The sequence below is a fragment of the Homo sapiens genome, chromosome 10 (assembly GCF_000001405.40).
Source record: "Homo sapiens chromosome 10, GRCh38.p14 Primary Assembly".
Classification (NCBI taxonomy): Eukaryota; Metazoa; Chordata; class Mammalia; order Primates; family Hominidae; genus Homo; species Homo sapiens.
Genome location: NC_000010.11, coordinates 106122410 through 106141176, shown reverse-complemented (window position 1 = coordinate 106141176; position 18767 = coordinate 106122410). Strand labels below are relative to the sequence as shown.

The window sequence follows — 18767 nt, the reverse complement described above, 5'->3', positions numbered from 1 at the left end:
CAGGGTCCTCTACAGTGTCTCTTTTTATATTCACTTCCATGGAGGAAATGATGTCAATCACCAAATCAAGAGAATTCTTTGGGTTCTTTATTATAAGGGGACTAATCTCATTCGTGAGGGCTACACCCACGTGACCTAATCACGTCCCAAAGCCTCCACCTCCTAATACCATCATCTTCGGGGTTAGGATTTCAACATATGAATTTTGTGGAGACACACATATTCAGACAATAGCACTTATATTTTGGTGATCCCTCAGAAAATTAAAAGTAGAATTACTGTATGATCTAGCAATTCCATGCCTGCATGTATACCCCCCAAAATGGAAAGCAGGATCCTAAAGAGATATTTGTATACCCTTTATCATAACATAATTATTCACAATAGCAAAAAGGTGAAAGCACCTCAGCTGTCTATAAGCAGGTGAATGGACAAACAAAATGTGGCGTATACATACCAGGAAATTTTACTTAATCTTATAAAGGAAGGAAATTGTGACATATGCTACATCCTGGATGGATTTTGAGCAAATTATCTATGTGAAATAAACCTGTCACAAAAACACAAATACTGTGTTGTTTTATTTATATGAGATACGTAGAGTAGTCACATTTATTAAAAACAAAAGTAGTAGGGTGGTTGCCAGGAATCCAGGAAAGGGAAGAATAGGAATTGTTGTTTAATGGGCATAGAGTTTCAGTTTCTCAAGATGAAAAGAGTTCTGGAGATTGATTGTACAACAATGTGAATACACTTAACACTACTCAACTGTGCACTTAAACAGAGCTAAGATGATAAATTTTACATGTGTTATGCCACAATTAAAAATAAAATAAAATATAATACTCACACATTAATGCCGCATTTGATATTTTATATCTTCTTGGTAATCTTTAAAACAATTTCATTCATTTTCAGGGCACCAGTCCAGAGCAAGAGGTTCATCAAGGGTTCATTTCTGTTTTGTTAGGTTTTGTTTTGTTTTCTCTAGGATTCAAGTCTCCCCCTGTTCTATGTGTGGAACACTTTCTCTTGGCTGCCTGGCAACTCTTCAACAAGGCCCCATACACTCTGACATCAAGGAGGGTATTATCCCAGAGCTTTCTCCCAAGATACTCAAACCTGGTGGTTTGCAGGCATGAGGTGGCCACCACCAAACTTTAGTCAGTCAATAGCCAGCAGGCTCTGCATGGGCATCAGCCCTTGGACACAAAAGTGACTAAAAGGAGCTGCTAAATGCCCCAGTAGGGCTTCTGAGAAGAAAGGGCAGCAGAGTACCAGGAGGAGAAGCCTAAAGAACAAAATGCATTTGCTGATCCTGGGGGAGCTTGCAGTTTCTATGCCCTTGATACTGTTACCAAGCTGAGCAAGAGGGAGAGGAAGCAGTGCTCAGCGAGTAAGTCCTTGACCAGGCCTTCTGTAGCCTGAGATTTGCCACAAGCTGTTTCAGCCCCAGCTGTTGCAAGCAGGATGAGCAAGCCAGAATATTCACCTGGCCATCCACTCCAGTAGTGACAAGGTGTGTCGAACAGTGTCTGCAGCTTGGGTCATTTCAGGTACACGAGGATAGAAGACACCTCAGAGACTAGCCCAAACTTCTCACTTTACATATGAAGAAAACTGAGGTCCACATTCATAGATTTACAGTTCAGTGCTTACTTTACTTTGTTTGTTTGAAATAAGTTACATGTCAAAAAAAAGTGGGGGTGATGTGGAGAGTATTAAAATAGTACTGAGCTTCAGAGGAAGAATTTCTAGTATCTTACTCTCTCCTATTCCCAAGCCTTCCCCTTTCTTCCTAATAGAAGGGAAAATTCGTCACTTCCATGGTCTTCTTTTTCTTGCTTTCGAACTGGAGAAAGCCCACCGTATTTTACCTTTCTTCTCTCCCTTTAGAAAAAGAGTATGGTAAGTAAAGTACAATATTCTTCACTCACCAAAGATAAAACCCAGGCATCTTTCTCCTCCTCTCTCCTCTCCAGAATCTACCCCAGCAGCTAGGCTGGAGAAGCTGTCTAGGTGATCTCCCTTAACATTATCATAAGCAAAGATTCTTTCTTGGTTTGGGTCTCTCTGTGATTATTACCTTTGTTCTAGTCCTTCCTTCACATCATAAGATAAGGTCCAAGTTTTAGGTTTGAATCGTCCCAGACAAATGCAGAATGTCTAGTCTCTCCTGTCTATCGCAATTCAACATTTAAATTGAGCTACCTTAAAAATAAGTTTACTAGGTTGGGCATGGTGCCACATGCCTGTAATCCCAGCATTTTGGGAGGGTACACTGGGAAGATCACTTGAAGCCAGGAGTTTGAGATCAGCCTAGGCAACAAATGAGACTCCGTCTCTTAAAAAAAAAAAAAAAAAAAAAAAAAAGAAAAAAGAAAAAAAGAAAATTAGCCAGGCATGCTGACACATGCCTACAAGCCCAGCTACTTGGGAGCTGAGGAGAGAACATTGCTTGAGCCCAGGAGTTCAAGGCTGCACTGAGCTGTGATCTTCCCACTGTATTCCAGCCCATGTAATAGAACGAGACCGTCTCAAAAAAAATAAAAAAATAAAAACAAGGAAGTTTACTAAATGTTCTAGTCCAGTTTATAAAATACTTTTCATTTTATATTTGATACCTAAGTCACTGCTTAAAAAATATTTTTTGGCCAGGCACAGTGGTTCACTCCTATAATCTGAGCACTTTGGGAGGTTGAGGCAAATGGATTTCTTGAGCCAAGGTGTTCAAGAATCCCATCTCTCCAAATAAAAGTATCTAATTCAAGTATCTATTGGTGTGTGTGTGTGTGTGTGTGTGTGTGTGTGTGTGAGAAGGTGTGCAGGGAAAATGCACCTATCTTCATAGATTAATGTTACTTAGCATCCCTGGGAAAATAGTAACTCTGACTACAGAGAAAAAAATCTCCAATTTAAAAAAGTTTTTTATATAACTTCGAAGGTCAATGGTTACCTTATTTAATTTCAGGTGATAACCAGAACTTCTTGAAATTTTAAAGGACGGCTAAGTGGTTAACCAGGGAAAAACTGTGATTAAATTATTACTGTAAAGAGCAAGATCAAGACAAGTGAATATATTTCAAGGAAATGACTGCATTAAGGAATCAATATATAGTTACAAGAGCTTTCCAGTGAGTGAGTCTACCATCCACAGAGTAAAACATTTTCTACAACTATTATATCAATATGTGGCAAATAATATCTTAAGATTTATTCACAAGTTGTTCCCACTTGAATATGTAGCCTCTTCTTTGAAATTGTGCTTTAAAGTGATCATTTGTAAGCATAAGAGTAACTGCAATTCTTGTGTCTTTCATTTCAAAATGTTAGAAGTCATTGGTGAATACATGGGTAAAGATGAAAGAAATTAATGATTGCTAGATATATACTTCAGGTTTTAATTAACTTATTTATGTCAGTGATTTATAAATAGTTGTTCTGTGGAACACAAAGTCTGAAAAATGTCTTAACAGAAAAATTAAATGTTCTGTTAAAAGCAATGAATTTTGGAAACACTGCATTACTGTAATGAGGAATATTAAAGAGATTTTGACTTGGAGATAGCCAAGGGATTTGGATTTGGGGATATAATATAACCAAGTGGGGTTCATCCCAGGTAAGATAATTTAATATTTAAAATCTATTAGTAATAATGATTTTCTCAATGGAAAAAAGAAAATTTAATATAATTAAACACATATAATAAATACTCTCAACATACTTGAAGCAGAAGAAAACCTTCTCAGTCTGGTGAAGAGTTTCAACACAAAGGCATCAGATAGCATAATTCTTCATGGTTAAATAAGTATTGAATAGTGTCCTTTGATTTTAGGAAGTAGACAAGGATATGTATGATCTCATTTTTGTATCTGGCTTCTTTCATTTAGCATAATGCTTTTGAGATTCACCCACATTGTTTCAAATATTAATAGTTCACTGCCTTTGTTGCTGAGTACTAGTTAATTGTGTGGATATAGCATAATTAGATTGTACATTCACCAGTTGAATGCTTATATTGTTTTATTTATGTTGTTGAATGAACCATATAAATGTTTCCAGGTTTGACTATTATTAATGCAGCTGCTATATACATTTGCATTCAGTCTTTGTATGCACATGTTTTGTTTCTTTTGGGTGGGGTGGAATTTCTGGGCAATAGAGTGTCTGTTTAACTTGACAAGAAATTGACAAACTCTCTTTCAAAATGACTGTATTATTTTTATTCTTTCTAAAATAAACATTTAATCCTATACATTTTCCACTAAACACTGCTCCTGCAGCATCTCACAAATTTTGATACGTTGTGTTTTCATTTTATTTCTCTTGAAAATATTTTCCAATTTCTCTTAGGATCTTCTCTTTGACCCATGGACTATTTGAAAATGTATTGTTTAATTTTCAAGAGTTTGGAAATTTACCTATCTTTCTATTATTTATGTATAGTTTAATTCAGTTATGGTCAGTGTGTTAGTCTGTTTAGTGTGTCTATAACAGAATACCTGAGACTGTGTAGTTTATTTTCTATATGCATTTATTTAGCACAGGATTCTACAGGCTGGGAAGCTGAAGAGCCTAGGGCCACATGTTGGGTCAAAAACTGGCATGGGAAAAGAGATCACATGGCAAGGGAGGAAGAGACAGTGTAGGAAGTCCATCTTGCTTTTATAACAGTTCACTCTCTAGGAACTAGTCCAGTCCTGGGAGAGCAAAATTTCACTCCCATAGGAGGGTATAAATCTACTCATGAAGGATCACCTCTGAGACTCAAACACCTCCCACTAGGCCCCAACTCCCAACAACACCACACTGAGAATCAAGTTTCAGCATGAGTTTGGGTGGGAAAACCACAGCATTCAGGGAACACATTTTGTATGATATCAATTCTTTTATGTGGTTAAGATTTGTTTTATGAATCAGGATATCCTTATTTGGTGAGTGTTGGATATACACTTGAAAATAATGAATATTTTCCTGCTTGGGGTGGATAATTATGTAAATATCAATTAGAAGCCATTGATTATTGGTGGTATTCAGTCCCTTTGTATCTTTTCCAATATTCTGTCCGCTAGTTTATCTATGACTGATAAATAAATCCACTGATATAATTGTGGATTTTTCTACTTCTCCATTCAGTTTTTTCAGTTTTTCCTTCATGTTCTGAAGCTCTTTTGTTATATTCATGTACATGTAGGGTTGTTATGGCTTCTTGGTGGATTTACCCTTTTATTGTTATGTAATGTCTCTATTCTGGTAATTTTCTTTGCTCTGAAATCTACTTTGTCTGATACTAATATAGCTATTCTAGCTTTCTTTTGATTAGCATTTGTATGGGAAATGTTTTTCCAACCCTTTAACTTTAATCTAACTCTATCATTGCATTTGGCATGAGTATATCATAGATAGCACTTGGCTGAATCCATTTTTAAAAATCTTTGTTGTCCATCTCACTTTTTTAGTTAGTATATTTAGATCATTTAGAGCCCGTTGGTTTACAAACAAATTTATGGGTTTGTATTCCTGAGCTCTCCCTAAAATCTCCCAGGTATTTTCCAGTTCCCTAGTGCTTTCTTTTTCTGTCCTCTGGCCAGAAAGCTGGAGCATTGGTTACTCTATGCTGCCATATACTACCCATGACCGTGTCAACATTAGGGGTAGCGAAGATCATAGTAATTGAAGCTTCAGGTTTCTGGCCTGTGGGAAGACAAAGAGGAAAAAATATATAATTGGAGTTTTCTCCACTCTCTTGGGACAACAGATCCTCTGGTTAGAGTGGAAGATTTTCCTCCCTCAAAGTTTATATGCTCCTGGATGGATGTACAATCATTTTGGAGGTCAATATGCAACACAATATCTAACATACTTGAAGATGGGCAGCCCTGTAATCCTGTTCCTCATCATACACCCTAAAGAAACACTTCAATGTGTATACCAGAGACAAAAATTACTTTATCATTTTATAGTAGCAAAAAATTAAAATTAAGCTAAATTATCATCAACAGAGGAGTGAACAGTTTGCTTCCTCACTTTATTCATGTCTCTGACCTAAAATGCAGCCTCTTTAGAAAGGCCTTTCATGGCCACCATATTAAAAATAATTCAATCTTCTCCCTCAACACCAACCTCCTTCAATCTCCTTATCCTATTTTATTGCTCCTAATAGTTCTCATTATGATCTGACACTAGATTGTATTATTGGCTTGTCTCCTGTTGTTCTCTCCCACCGTAATCCCATACATGTGTGGATTCTTTGCTGTTCATTTCATATACTTCACTACTTCACATTATATACTTATTTGTTAACATGTTTGTTTACTACCTCTCTCTCCAACTAGAATATAAATTCCATGAGAGTTGGGAAATTTGTCTTAGTCACTGTTGTATCACCCATATCTAAGAATGTGTGGTACTTAATAAGTGCTCAAAATATTTGTAGAATATATCAACGAATAAATTATGTAAATCTGAGTAACGACTACACGACATTTTATAATTCTCTATCTCTACGTTTTTATATTTTATACCTTTTTTTTTTTTTTTTGAGAAATGTTCTTGCTCTGTCACCCAGGCTGGAATGCAGTGGCATGATCTCTGCTCACTGCAACCTCTGCCTTCCAGGTTCAAGCGATTCTTCCGCCTCAGACTCCCAAAGTGCTGGGAGTACAGGCATGAGTCACCGTGCCCAGCCTATATTTTATAACTTTTGAAAGAGAAAATAACAATACATTGTTTTAAATAATCTTTCAGTGATTAATTTATAAGTGATTTTCTTCCTTATGTTTTATTTTTAAAAACTTCTTTGAACAGATTTTATTTTTATAAGTATAATAATACTTATTTTTGCTATTAATGTTTTATTTTATAATTTAGCTATAACTCTTTTGGTTAGCATTCAAGGTCTATTTCATTTTATATCTACTCCCCTGCCAACCTACCTTTCTAGCCCAACCATTCAGTAGTCATGAACGAGTATTCTGCATGCAAAACAAAATGGAAGATTGGTAGTTTTCGTATTATGCTCTATGCTTATTTCTGTCACTCCTAACTCTTCCTAACTTGCACTGTTCTCTTCATCTGGAAAGAAAATCCTTTCTCTCAGCCCTGTCACTTTCTCCCATCAAAATTGCAATCCTTCTTCAATGGCACATTGAGTGCCTTTTCACACTTTCTTATGGCAATAAATGCATGCAACAGAGGTGTTATTTGTGTATCTCCCTTTTTGCCTTAATGTCTTTGTTGACCAACCCCGTTTCCTAAAACACATTTTATAAAATTTGCATTTCACAGAATGTTAATCTAGGTCATGTGGAGAGAAAAAAAAATGATTCCATGGTAACTCAATTTTGAAATGGCTGTATTTAAAAAAAAATTTAAGTAGATTATTTTAATTTTGGACCTATCAAGAACATTTTATTTGTCAATAACCATTGTGAAACTTCAAGAGGGACCTATAATATTCAGACTTTCAACTTGTTGTCCATAAAACTACTTTGTACATTTTAATGGTTTCCCTTTAAAAATTTCTTTGTGCGAGTATTTCTCAATGTGGGCAATTGTATTTTGTTATATTTCGTATTTTGTGTGGGAACTTATCTCTCTCTTTACCTTCAAAATTCACTCACTGCAATTGATTAGCATAATAGATACTATATCAACACTAGATAAATACATGATTAATCTATTTCTATTAGGAACTTCTATAGAGAGTTTAGTACTTTGTCTAGTGTGACCCTTTAGGAATATACTTTTTTAATCATCTCTTTTTAGATAAGGAAATCTAGCCTGTGAAATTGACCCCCAAGTCTAATCCTCCTCTGCTTTCCAAAGTTGATAGTGAGTTGATAAAGTATCTGTGGAGAATTCATCCTCTCTTGTTACCGCTGAATACATATGAGTCAAAATCAATTTGACAGATGACAGTTACCTTCAAACTTTTGATGGGAATGAGAGGACAAAAGAGAACCTGAATTTTTCTCCACTCATTTAATGCTTGTTGACAGTGGAAATTTTTAAGAATTAGTCAGACTGTGGTTGTAGAGAAAGAATGGGTTGGAATTTTATACGGTTTCATGGTCAAACAAATTGACTAATTTGGATTAAGGCTGAGTTCTGAATGGAGACTTACTTTACTTTCATAGAATTTCAATGTTTGTCCACTTCAAAATGTATTCAGAGAATAAGCCATCGTTACTCTACATGTTTTGCATCTGACAAGTGTAATCCTTGTAGAAAGGTTTTGGCTGAAATCACTTACGAGCTAGAAAGGCCTATGGTGACAACATTGAATTTGGGAAACTCTTCTGTACTTTAAAAATTATTTTAGCAGAATAGTGAGTAGATCCATACAAAATAGTTCCAATGAGAGCTTCATAATTCATGTTATTGACTGACTCCCAAATCTGTAAATGTCTTTTTATGATTGTCTCTGCTGATTTACCCTCATTTTTTGATGATTGAGGCATGTTTCCAAATTATGTGGTAGTATTTTTGTTAGCACTAGTGTTGTGATTAAAACCTATTGTGCATCAGACATTTCCTAAAGTACCATGAAATATTTTACATATATTATTTCCTTTAATATTTTACATACATTATTTAATATTTTACATATATTTTTATATATTACTTATTTTACATATATTTCATGTAATCATCTCCAAAGTTATGAGATTAATGGAATGTTATTCCTTTTTATTATCCTCTACCAATAAGAAGACTTACATGACCAGAAGATTAGTTACTTTGTTCAAAGTCACAGAAGTAGTAAAAGGTTAAATTTGGATTCAAACACACACAATCTTAATCCAAAACCTGAATGTCCAGTTATGGCTACACAGTATACAAATGAGTTTAAAAGTATAAGCTCTCAAGTAAAAAAGTATCCCAAATTGTAAGCTCTGCTCTATATTATTTGTATGTATTTGGGTTCATTGCTGAATCCACTTAAACCTCAGTGTACTCAAGTGTAAATTAAAGCTAAAAAAGGCACACATTTCAGATGGTATCTGTAAAGACTAAGTAAGTTTATGCACATGCATAGACGAATAGAGTAAATGATGAGTAATTGTTACCTATTGACATGACACCTACCAGTATTATTGTGACTATGTTAAGAAAGTTTCTCCAAATGAACTTGTTGATTTCTCTATAGAAAGTTCCGTCAAAAGGCTTATCTGGGAAAAAAAATGTAGCAATACAGTAAATTTTAGTGTGTTTTAAGTCAAAGATAAGCTTTCCTGCAAGAATATATTATTTTTAAATCAATCTGGAATTAATCTTTTCCTTGCTGAAAGGAGAGCAGTTCAATACCATTATCATAATCTTTATCACCAGATATCATATTCATGATCAATAAAGGCATAAAGAAGTATTTAAAAACGTGTGCTCCAATCAGCAGAGAAACAGCACCCCTGTCCTCTCTGTTGACCACAGAGGCAGCCTCACCAATCGATTCTTCAGTGTTCTATGTGGTTCCAATCAGCTTCTCAATCCATAACACCAAATCAAAGATTCTACTTGTGGAACAGACTGATGACTCGTGAGAAGATAATGTATACACTAATTCATAATTCTTTAACAGACACAAAGCAGATTTACCCTCCTTAAAAGACCCAGAAAATAATAAATTCCTAAGGAATATTTTGGAAAATTAGTCTTTTTATTGCACTTATTATATGAAAAATGGCCTTCCATACTAAACAAGTTCATAAATTCTGTTTATTTCTCACATATTTTTTGTGATCCAGGTACTTTTTAAAGTAAATTTATTCTTCTCTCTAGAATTCAGATTTAGTCATAATCTACTTAAAAGCTCAACTCAAGTTATAGTCTTTTGCAGGCAATTTGCTGGTTTCACACACGAATCTCCCTTGGCAGAATCCAGTATAGTAAATTGTATTACTGCACATTACAGTCATTGTCTATAATTCCTTTGATTCTTCCCTACTTTTTTGCAGTACCTAAATTTGTCAGTTTGTATCTTCTTCTTGAATTGCCATTATTTCACTCTCACACCCATAATGTTTGTGGCTGTAGTCTACAAAGAGGTTTTTGCATTATAAAGATAAGGCAGTGGTAAACTGTATTGCGTCTATAAAACCAAAAGTCTGATTGTAGAGACTTTCTCAATTTGGGTCTTACACTGTTGCTTCAACAAAATAATGCATAAAACAACTGAGCAGGTGATTTTGAAATCTGCTACACCCTCTTATGCCTCTTATGTTGTTCGTTTGGACAAAGACATTTTTGTTAAGGATTATGTAATTTCACCCTCCATGATTTTTCTCTTGAATGTAATGTTAAAGGCTTTATCTTGTGTCTGTCACTGACAGTATACAGCTCAAGTAGCTTCCCATAAGTGGCAAAGGCAAGGGCCTCTCTGGATTATCAATAAGGTGTTGCATTTTTACAAGAAAAATTCACATATTATCATATTAAGTCTCCTCCTCTAACATGCTGTTTATCCTTTAGCCCCCAATCAAGAAGGGTTTAGTGGTCCCAGACACCACCTAGATGCCAACATCAGCTCTAACATTTATGGTTTGTCTTTTCCTGAGCTTGCTTGCCTTTTTTGTTCTTTTTGCCTGAGGAGGGGGTAAATTAATTTTTTTGACTCTGTGAAAATGATCTAAAAAGAGTTGACATCTTCTAACAAGTCTATACTACTTTTGATTCATCTTCTTTATTTTCCATCCACTCTTTAATTTGCTCCATTCTGTCCCAACTCCCATCTAAACTGCTCCTTTCAATGGTCAAATTAAATCGTCATTTCTTTCTGTATTTATCTTGCTTTAAGTCTCAGCAGCAGCGTTTTAAACAGTTTTCTGTAGCATTTGACTCACTCTCCTTCTCTCTCTTGCTCTCTCTCTCTTCTAAAACTTAGATTGTAGGAGATCATGCTCACTTAGTTCTTAGGTATCTCTTGCTTCTCAGTGTCTTTTCACAGCTGCTCCTTCTCAACTTGTTCTTTGAGTACTGAGAAGTTGAATCTTCTTATATAAAGACATATATATAAATATATACACACACACATGCACACATATATCTTTATGTATATAGATGTCTTTAAGACTCAACTTTATATATACACACATATATGTCTTTACATATATATGTATACATATATGTCTTCAAGCACCTCATTTATATATATTTATATATAGATGTATAGATGTCATTAAGTACTTCATTTATATATATATTTATATATAGACATATATATGTCTTTAAGTACCTCATTTATATATATATATTTATATATAGACATATGTCTTTAAATGCCTCATTTATATATATTTATATATAGACATATATATGTATGTCTTTAAGTACCTCATTTATATATATTTTAATATAGACATAATATATAGTCTGTCTTTAAGTACCTCATTCAGTTCCAGAGCGGAAATACTCTGATGACTCTCAGATTAGAATCTAAAGTCATGAACTCTCCCTTAAGCTTGGATTTAGACATCAAAATGAAGATTGAAGAACTAAGCAAGATACACACTAAAAATCTCAAATTTGATATGTCCCCCAATTTCCCACAGAAACATCTTACTCCAGTCTCTCCTGTCTACATAAATGGAGCTACAGTCTGCCCTCTTTATTTACTCCAAAACATAGACAATTATACTTAACTACTTTCTGCCCTTTATTTTTCACTTTCTCAGAGAAACTGATCAGTTCTGTCCCTCAAATATGCCTTTAATTTGTTCACATTTCTTCACCTCCACTGTCACTTCTACATATCACTATCAGTTCTCACCTGATTTACAGTAGTGGCCTTTTAACTGGTCATCAATTTTCCTCTCTTAACTTTCCCAAATCAGGATACACTGCAGTAACAGAGGGATATTTTGAAAATGAAAATCTGGTTGTGTCATTCCCCTTTGACAACTTGTCACTGGATTCCTACAACTCTTAGAATAAATTCCTAAATCCTCACCGTTGAGAAGACAACATGCACCGGCCCTCATCCAAGGCCTGGCCTCATGCAGCTTCGGTAGTGTACATCTTTCATGACGCCAGCTCATTCTCTCCTTAGTGCTTAGTATAGATGCCCTTTCCTCTGGCTCTTCAAATCTCTGGCTCCTCATTAGACAGGTTTCATTTCAAATATCACTCCCTAATGGGCCAAGCCTTTTCTGAACACCTTACCTATGTAGCCCCTCCCCAGTCACTCCTCCAGCCCATAGCTTCATTATCTTCCTTGCATTCATCAGTATCTAAAATTATCTGATGTATTTTTTTTCAATTAATTATTGTAGTTGTCTTTTCCATTAGAATGTAAGCTGTCTGTGGATGAAGACCCTTTTCATTTTGTTCATTGCTTTGCCAGCTGCCCAAGAAGAATATCAGGGACATAGTATATATTCAATATATATTTGGAAACGAAAGAGTGAATGTATTTTCCATGAATGTTTATTCATTCTTGCTGAATCCTGACTTAGGTGCCCTGAACAGTCATTCTGAGTTTTTGTTTCCAGTCACTACTTTAACTCTTTGTTGCTAAGGACCTACTGTGCATTCAAACCATTGCCAGGCCTATGACTGTGGCACATGAAATTTCAATTTCTAGAAACCTGACAGTTTTCTTCAGGGTAGTGAAAGTTCTTGGCTGGGTGTTGTGGCTCACACCTATAAACCCAACACTTTGGGAGGCTAAGGCAGGAGGATCACTTGAGGCCAGGAGTTTGAGATCAGCCTGGACAACATAACAAGACCCTATCTATCTCTACAAAAAAAAAAAAATATATGAAAATTAGCTGGGTGATGTGTGCCTGTAGTTCAAGCTATTCTGGAAGCTGAGGCAGGAGGATCACTTGAGGCCAGGAGTTTGAGATCAGCCTGGACAACATAACAAGACCCTATCTATCTCTACAAAAAAAAAATATATATATGAAAATTAGCTGGGTGATGTGTGCCTGTAGTTCAAGCTATTCTGGAAGCTGAGGCAGGAGGATCACTTGGGCCCAGGAGGTCAAGGCTTCAATGAGGCAAGATCATGCCACTACACTTCAGCCTGGGCGACAGAGTAAGGCCATGTCTCAAAAAAATGTTCTAGATGCCTATTTGCAAGTCTAAAATCTATATTTTTCTGGAACCCACGCCTCTACTGCATCTGCTTTCCATATGTCCAAGTAGCTATGAGCATTAAGGACCATTGGGGCTGTACTAATTCCTGAGAGCAATTCCTCTGCTGCACTGAGGATTGAAAGATGACCTGGAATTACAGATGCCTGCCCTCCCAATGCCTGCTGGACTTGAACTCCACCTCCCTGGGGAGGGAGCAGGGCATCAGGCTGCAAGTCGTGATGGAGAGTCTTGGATGTGCTTAGGAGAAATGCTGTCAGAGAGCAGATATATGAATGAATTTAATGGTTCTGCTGGTTCTGGCATTGCTTCATTCAAACTGCATTATGGCCTAGACACTGCATGCTGAAGAGGAGATTCTTATTTTTATTAGTGAGGATTAATGAGTAAAGAATCAAGGACAAAAATCAAAGGAAAGGAATGAACCCCAGATAGTGGGGATGTGGTGCGTGTGCGTAAGGTATTATGACAGTGATGGTCTCTAGCATGCAAGCCCAACAAGCTGGGATAGACATAGATATTTTAGGTGGATATTAAGTTTGATATATATGTATATATAAATTTTCATGTGAAAGAAATGGACAACTATAGGGTTTCAGAAAAGAAAGATATTGCATCCAGTTTTGTTTATTAGGACAGACATGATGCTAAAATCCTTTCGAATGAAACAAGATAGGAACAAAATGTTCAAAGAAGAACCAAATCTCAGAGAATATGAATCAATTAATTTTAACCAAAATATACGGTTTGTTTAGGACGGTAATAGTGGGAGGCTCTTAATGTAATGATCTATCTGGCCCAATCTCTTTAATCTCTTTAGTTTTTGTCTCATTTTCTTGATTATCCTAACAGTCAGCCTTCCGGATTTGTAACTTTTACTATATTTTTATGTTGCATGTTCAACGATGAGACGATTAAACATAATACAATGAAATTCTAATTATATTCTAAAAGTGTGTCTAATGTATAATTGTTGAAAGAAATAAAAGGACACATTTCCAGACTTAGGATATTTTTACTAAAATGTTCCTCTTCTGTGAACTATTTTCATTTTAAAACCATTGCATTAATGGCTGTAATTTTTATTATGAGCAGCTGACTCCACAGATGTAGCATCAAGCTCATTGACAACCCTCATAGGAGGCGGAGGTCAAAGGGAACATGACTGAATCAGTTTGCACATGGAATCAGAGGAAAAACATCTTTATTACAAGGCCTTTCATTCTTTCATTCTTTTAAATGTAGAAATTAATTCACTCTGATGTAAGAAAATAAAACAGTGATGCATAGAATGTTACCTATCTTTGTTTATCTTATATCATCAAACTTCATGAGTGGAAGTGAGCGAGCTAGTCTCTATGTTAAAATGTTTCACTTCAAACACAATTTTCAACTTGGAAAAAAGATAGGGTTGAAAAGTGGGCATTTTATATAATTGAATTCCTAAAAAGAAAGACTTTTTGTATACATGGAATCATATACCTTTGAAACAAGAATAAATTCAAGTGAAGACAGTGTCGGTCTTCTTGGAAATTAACAAGTCCAGAAGGGGAAGAAAGGAATGTGGTTTCACAAGTATCACATGATTCTTAAACAGATGCTGTTATACCTTTTGAGGGTCAGGGGTAAATTGCAAATGCCAGTGTAAAACACAGCAGTCCCATACACTTTTATTAAAATAATTGTGAGGAAAGCTACCTCTTGCAATTAGTCTAAAGACCATTGTGGAAATGTATATGTTTGAAAAGCTACAGTGGCAAAAAATGAAAGAAAAAAATTGTCTGATTGTAAGGCAGCCAAGGAAAGACTGACTGATCCTCTACTCTTTATCCTACTTCTTTCTCAGAATTCCCGTCTTCTTCCCTTTCACTCTGCACTGGGAAGTATGAGAAGATGATCAGAAGAGGAGCAGAAAGTACTCCATTATCCAGCACCAACCATCTGAAGACTTTGGTGGTATTTATAAATATTTGACAAAAATAATGGTACTTTTGGAGACAGGTGCTCCTACTTTAGATGAAATTACTTAAACCAGGGGTTGGCAAACTTTCTAGATGAAGTCAGATAGTAAATATTTTATGCTGTGTGGGCCATACAGTTTTTGTTGCAGCTATGTAACTTTGCCATTATAGGATAAAACATTCCATAGTGTGCAAGCAAATAAACATGGCTGTGTTCCAATAAAAACTTCTTTTTTTTTTTTTCTTTTTTTTTTGAGATGGAGTCTCGCTCTGTCACCCAGGCTGGAGTGCAGTGGCACGATCTTGGATCACTGCAACCTCTGCTTCCCGGGTTCAAACAATTCTCCCTGCCTCTGCCTCCCAAGTAGCTGGGATTACAGGCACCCACTACCATGCCAGCTAAGTTTTTTGTATTTTAGTAGAGACGGGGTTTCACTATGTTGGCCAGGCTGGTCTCGAACCCTTGACTTCAGGTGATCCGCCCACCTCGGCCTCCCAAAGTGCGGGGATTACAGGCGTGAACCCAATAAAACTTTATGTACTGAAGCAGGTGGATGGTCAAATTTGGTTTGGAGGCCTTATGTTGCCTATCGCTGTCTTCAAATATTGAATAATATTTACTAAGGGAATATTTATTAGAAAAAACAAATCTTTAGTGCAAAATTCACTAGACCCATGGTTCTAGGGACCTCACTCACTGAGGGCATCCAGTTCATGTAAACACACACACCCACACATGGAAATAGAATATATGTAACCTTGTAATGTTTAGTTTTAACTGAAAATAAAAGAATGCTAATTCAAATATATAATATGCTATTTACATGATGTGGGGGAATAGTAAACAGAATTCCAATATCTGAACCCTCATTTTTAGAGCTGCACTAAAAGGAAAAAAATATATACTTAAATGGCTCTGTTTGCTATCATCTTTTTGGAACAAATTGAGTCATACATTAGGTAATTTTTCAGTAAATCTCCTGTTAGGGCTGTAGAAATCTCATTCCAAACTTTCTGAGAACTCTTAAGCCATGTCTGAAATCTTAAAAGCTTGATGAATGTAAATAAATATGCTTTAAATCCAATATAGCTGAAGTAGGAGGTACAATTGCAACTTTTAAGAATTTACCAATTACTCTTCTAATTACATCCTTGTATATAATTGTCACTATATTCTAAGTATCTTTCACCAAAGCATCAGATTTGCCATCATTTTAGATTGGAAAAGAAACATTTGTAAATCAAGCTGTTGTTAGCAATGTTAAAACATATGCAAAATTTGGATCCAAGTAGTAAGCATATACTAACAAGCATGTAGTTTTAGACACAAAGGGTCAAACTACCTTTTCAGTAGACTCTAAAAACTTTATACGTGCCACGGAATTGAGTCCAATCTTCAGGAACTGCTTAGATTTTAACCTAAAAATAATGATATATGAGACAATGGATGGAATAAAGGAAACACTGGCATAATTAGATACTAGTGAAAAGAACATGGAGCTTAGATTATAAGGCAAGTGAGTTAAGGTCAAACAATTGAAAGACTGTTATAGGTTGAATGATGGATTTAAAGAAAGAGTGTGGGATTTTTTAGACTCTGTAAATTGGAGGGTTTGAAAACAATCCTCCTTACACATTGACAAAAAAGCTCTTTGGCTTTAAGATTCACAATCTTTTTACCCCACAGGTTGGTATAATAAAAACATCCAGCAATCCATACAGCTATTATTAACAAAAAGTTCTAATGATTTACAAAAATATATTAAATAGATTTTTGTTTTGTTATGTTTCTATTTTCCCACTATGGAAGTTAGAACATGAGTGGTCCCCTAAGGAAAACATGATCTTAAGAACACAAAACTAATTATTCTGTCATTAGGATTTGAAGAAGGAAAGAGAAAGCAGTAGATTTTTTTTTTCCAGTTAGAGTACGGCAGATTTTCATGTTCACCAGAGCCTATGGAATTGTTTCAATTAGTCACTGAAGTCTAGTACAAAACCTCTTGCATACTGTCTAAAACACATGTAGGCCACCCACAGTCCCAGAAGAGCTGCACATATTTCTGAATTGTGTACTATGGCCTTAACGTCCATAGATTCTTGCTTTCTATAGCAGCCTTAGTGAGGATGAAAAGGTACATTTTTATAACATACACCATGATATGCATAACGTTTTGCCTCCAGTCCCTGTATCTTAGAAGTGTATTTTCTGTGACATATAGTATACAAGGTAAATGCGCTGTGGAGTAACAAATTAAAAAGCTTTTATAGAAACCTCTAAATACTATTTATGACTCCCCTGGTATTACCTAAACTTGTTACTGCTCAAATAATTACAAGTTTTCCAATAAGTGTGGGGTAGGCATTGTTGACTAACAATAGATGCAATGAGCAGTGCAATTTATTTTGAAGGCTGAGCCATCAAGGTAGTTTTTATCAATGATGTCCTTTCTGTGCACTGCCAGGCAGACAATGAGAAAGGGCATTTTTAAAAACGGTGGTATTTTTCTGCACTGACACAGTCCTTCCCGGGTGAGAACACCTCAATCCTGTCCCTTTTATTTAGTATATAACATCGATATTATTTTTAAAATGAGCTGATACACAGATACACTCACCTGGTTATATAGGAATTTAAACATCATGAAAAGTTTGCAGTGCATCTGCAGTTATATAATTAATAAATTTAATGAGACCTATCTATAGGCTGTAGTCCCAGCAGTTTGGGAGCCTGAGGCGGGCAGATCATTTGAGATCAGGAGTCTGAGACCAGACTGGCCGATATGGCAAAACCCCATCTCTACTACAGTAAAGTGCAAAAATTGGCTGGGCGTGGTGGTGTGTGCCTGTAATCCCAGCTACTTGGGAGTCTGAGGCAGGAGAATCACTTGAACCCAGGAGGTGGAGGTGGAGGTTGCAGTGCGCCGAGATCATGCCACTGCACTCCAACCTGTGCTACAGATGGAGATTCTGTATCAAAAAACAAACAACAAAAAAGAAAAGAACAGAAAAGTGGTTTTTTGATCTCAAGGGGATCATGATCTAGTAAATAATTCTTTGGTTTATGATTCTTTTTCAAAACAATGACAAAGTGGCGTGAATTTGATTCATCGAAAATTTATTGAGCATCTACTAAGTATCAGCTATTGGCTAGACTCTAGGACTCAAACATTAAATTCCCTGGCTTCTGGATGTTCATGATCTCGTGAAGGATGGAGAAGGTTACATAAATAGCACTTGTAGATGGTAGACAGGGGTAGGTGATATGAGTTCCAACCAACATGGTATTGAAGGAGGCAAATTAAGATTCTGAGTGGAACTGAGGGGGTATTAGGAATAGGTATTAGGAATAACGTAGAAGGTGAGCTTGCAAATGCGATTTAGGACTGGGATGACAGGGCTTTCCAGGTAAATAATGACTTATTTTGAAAAAAAATGCATGAAGATAAAACTAGCAGAAATATAATTTATGCAAGACTGAATATCAGCCAGAATTATTATTTGGACAGCTGTTTGATGGGATGATATAGAGGTAAAATTAAAAGAAAAAGGATAATTATCGTTTTCGTGATACATGCAGCCTAACTGGAGAGTAGAAGAATCCATTCTGCAGGATCAGATCTGTTTCCACATACTCTGTGTAATGATTAAAAACTTGGATCTTGAAGCATAACAATTGTTCCCACCCTATCTATCTGTTAGGGATTTTAT

At 35.8% G+C, this 18767-nt stretch overlaps 2 long non-coding RNA genes across 5 annotated transcripts in view; one reads left to right on the top strand and one right to left on the bottom strand.

Annotated features, from left to right (window-relative positions):
• LINC02624 (long intergenic non-protein coding RNA 2624) overlaps positions 1-1012 on the bottom strand; it is a 48558-nt gene extending 47546 nt beyond the window's left edge. For all 3 annotated transcript variants that reach the window (NR_134330.1, NR_134329.1, NR_134331.1), the window contains exon 1: positions 851-1012. This is a non-coding gene — a long non-coding RNA (long intergenic non-protein coding RNA 2624). The remainder of the gene's footprint in view (positions 1-850) is intronic.
• A 307-nt stretch (positions 1013-1319) lies between these two features.
• Positions 1320-18767, top strand: part of LOC105378469 (uncharacterized) — a 39631-nt gene continuing 22183 nt past the window's right edge. Inside the window, exons 1-2 of one of the 2 annotated variants that reach the window (XR_007062381.1) lie at positions 1320-1396; positions 14942-15051. This is a non-coding gene — a long non-coding RNA (uncharacterized LOC105378469). Of the gene's footprint in view, positions 1397-1435; positions 1520-14941; positions 15052-18767 lie in introns of those variants that run through there. The other variant, XR_007062382.1, reaches the window with a different exon arrangement.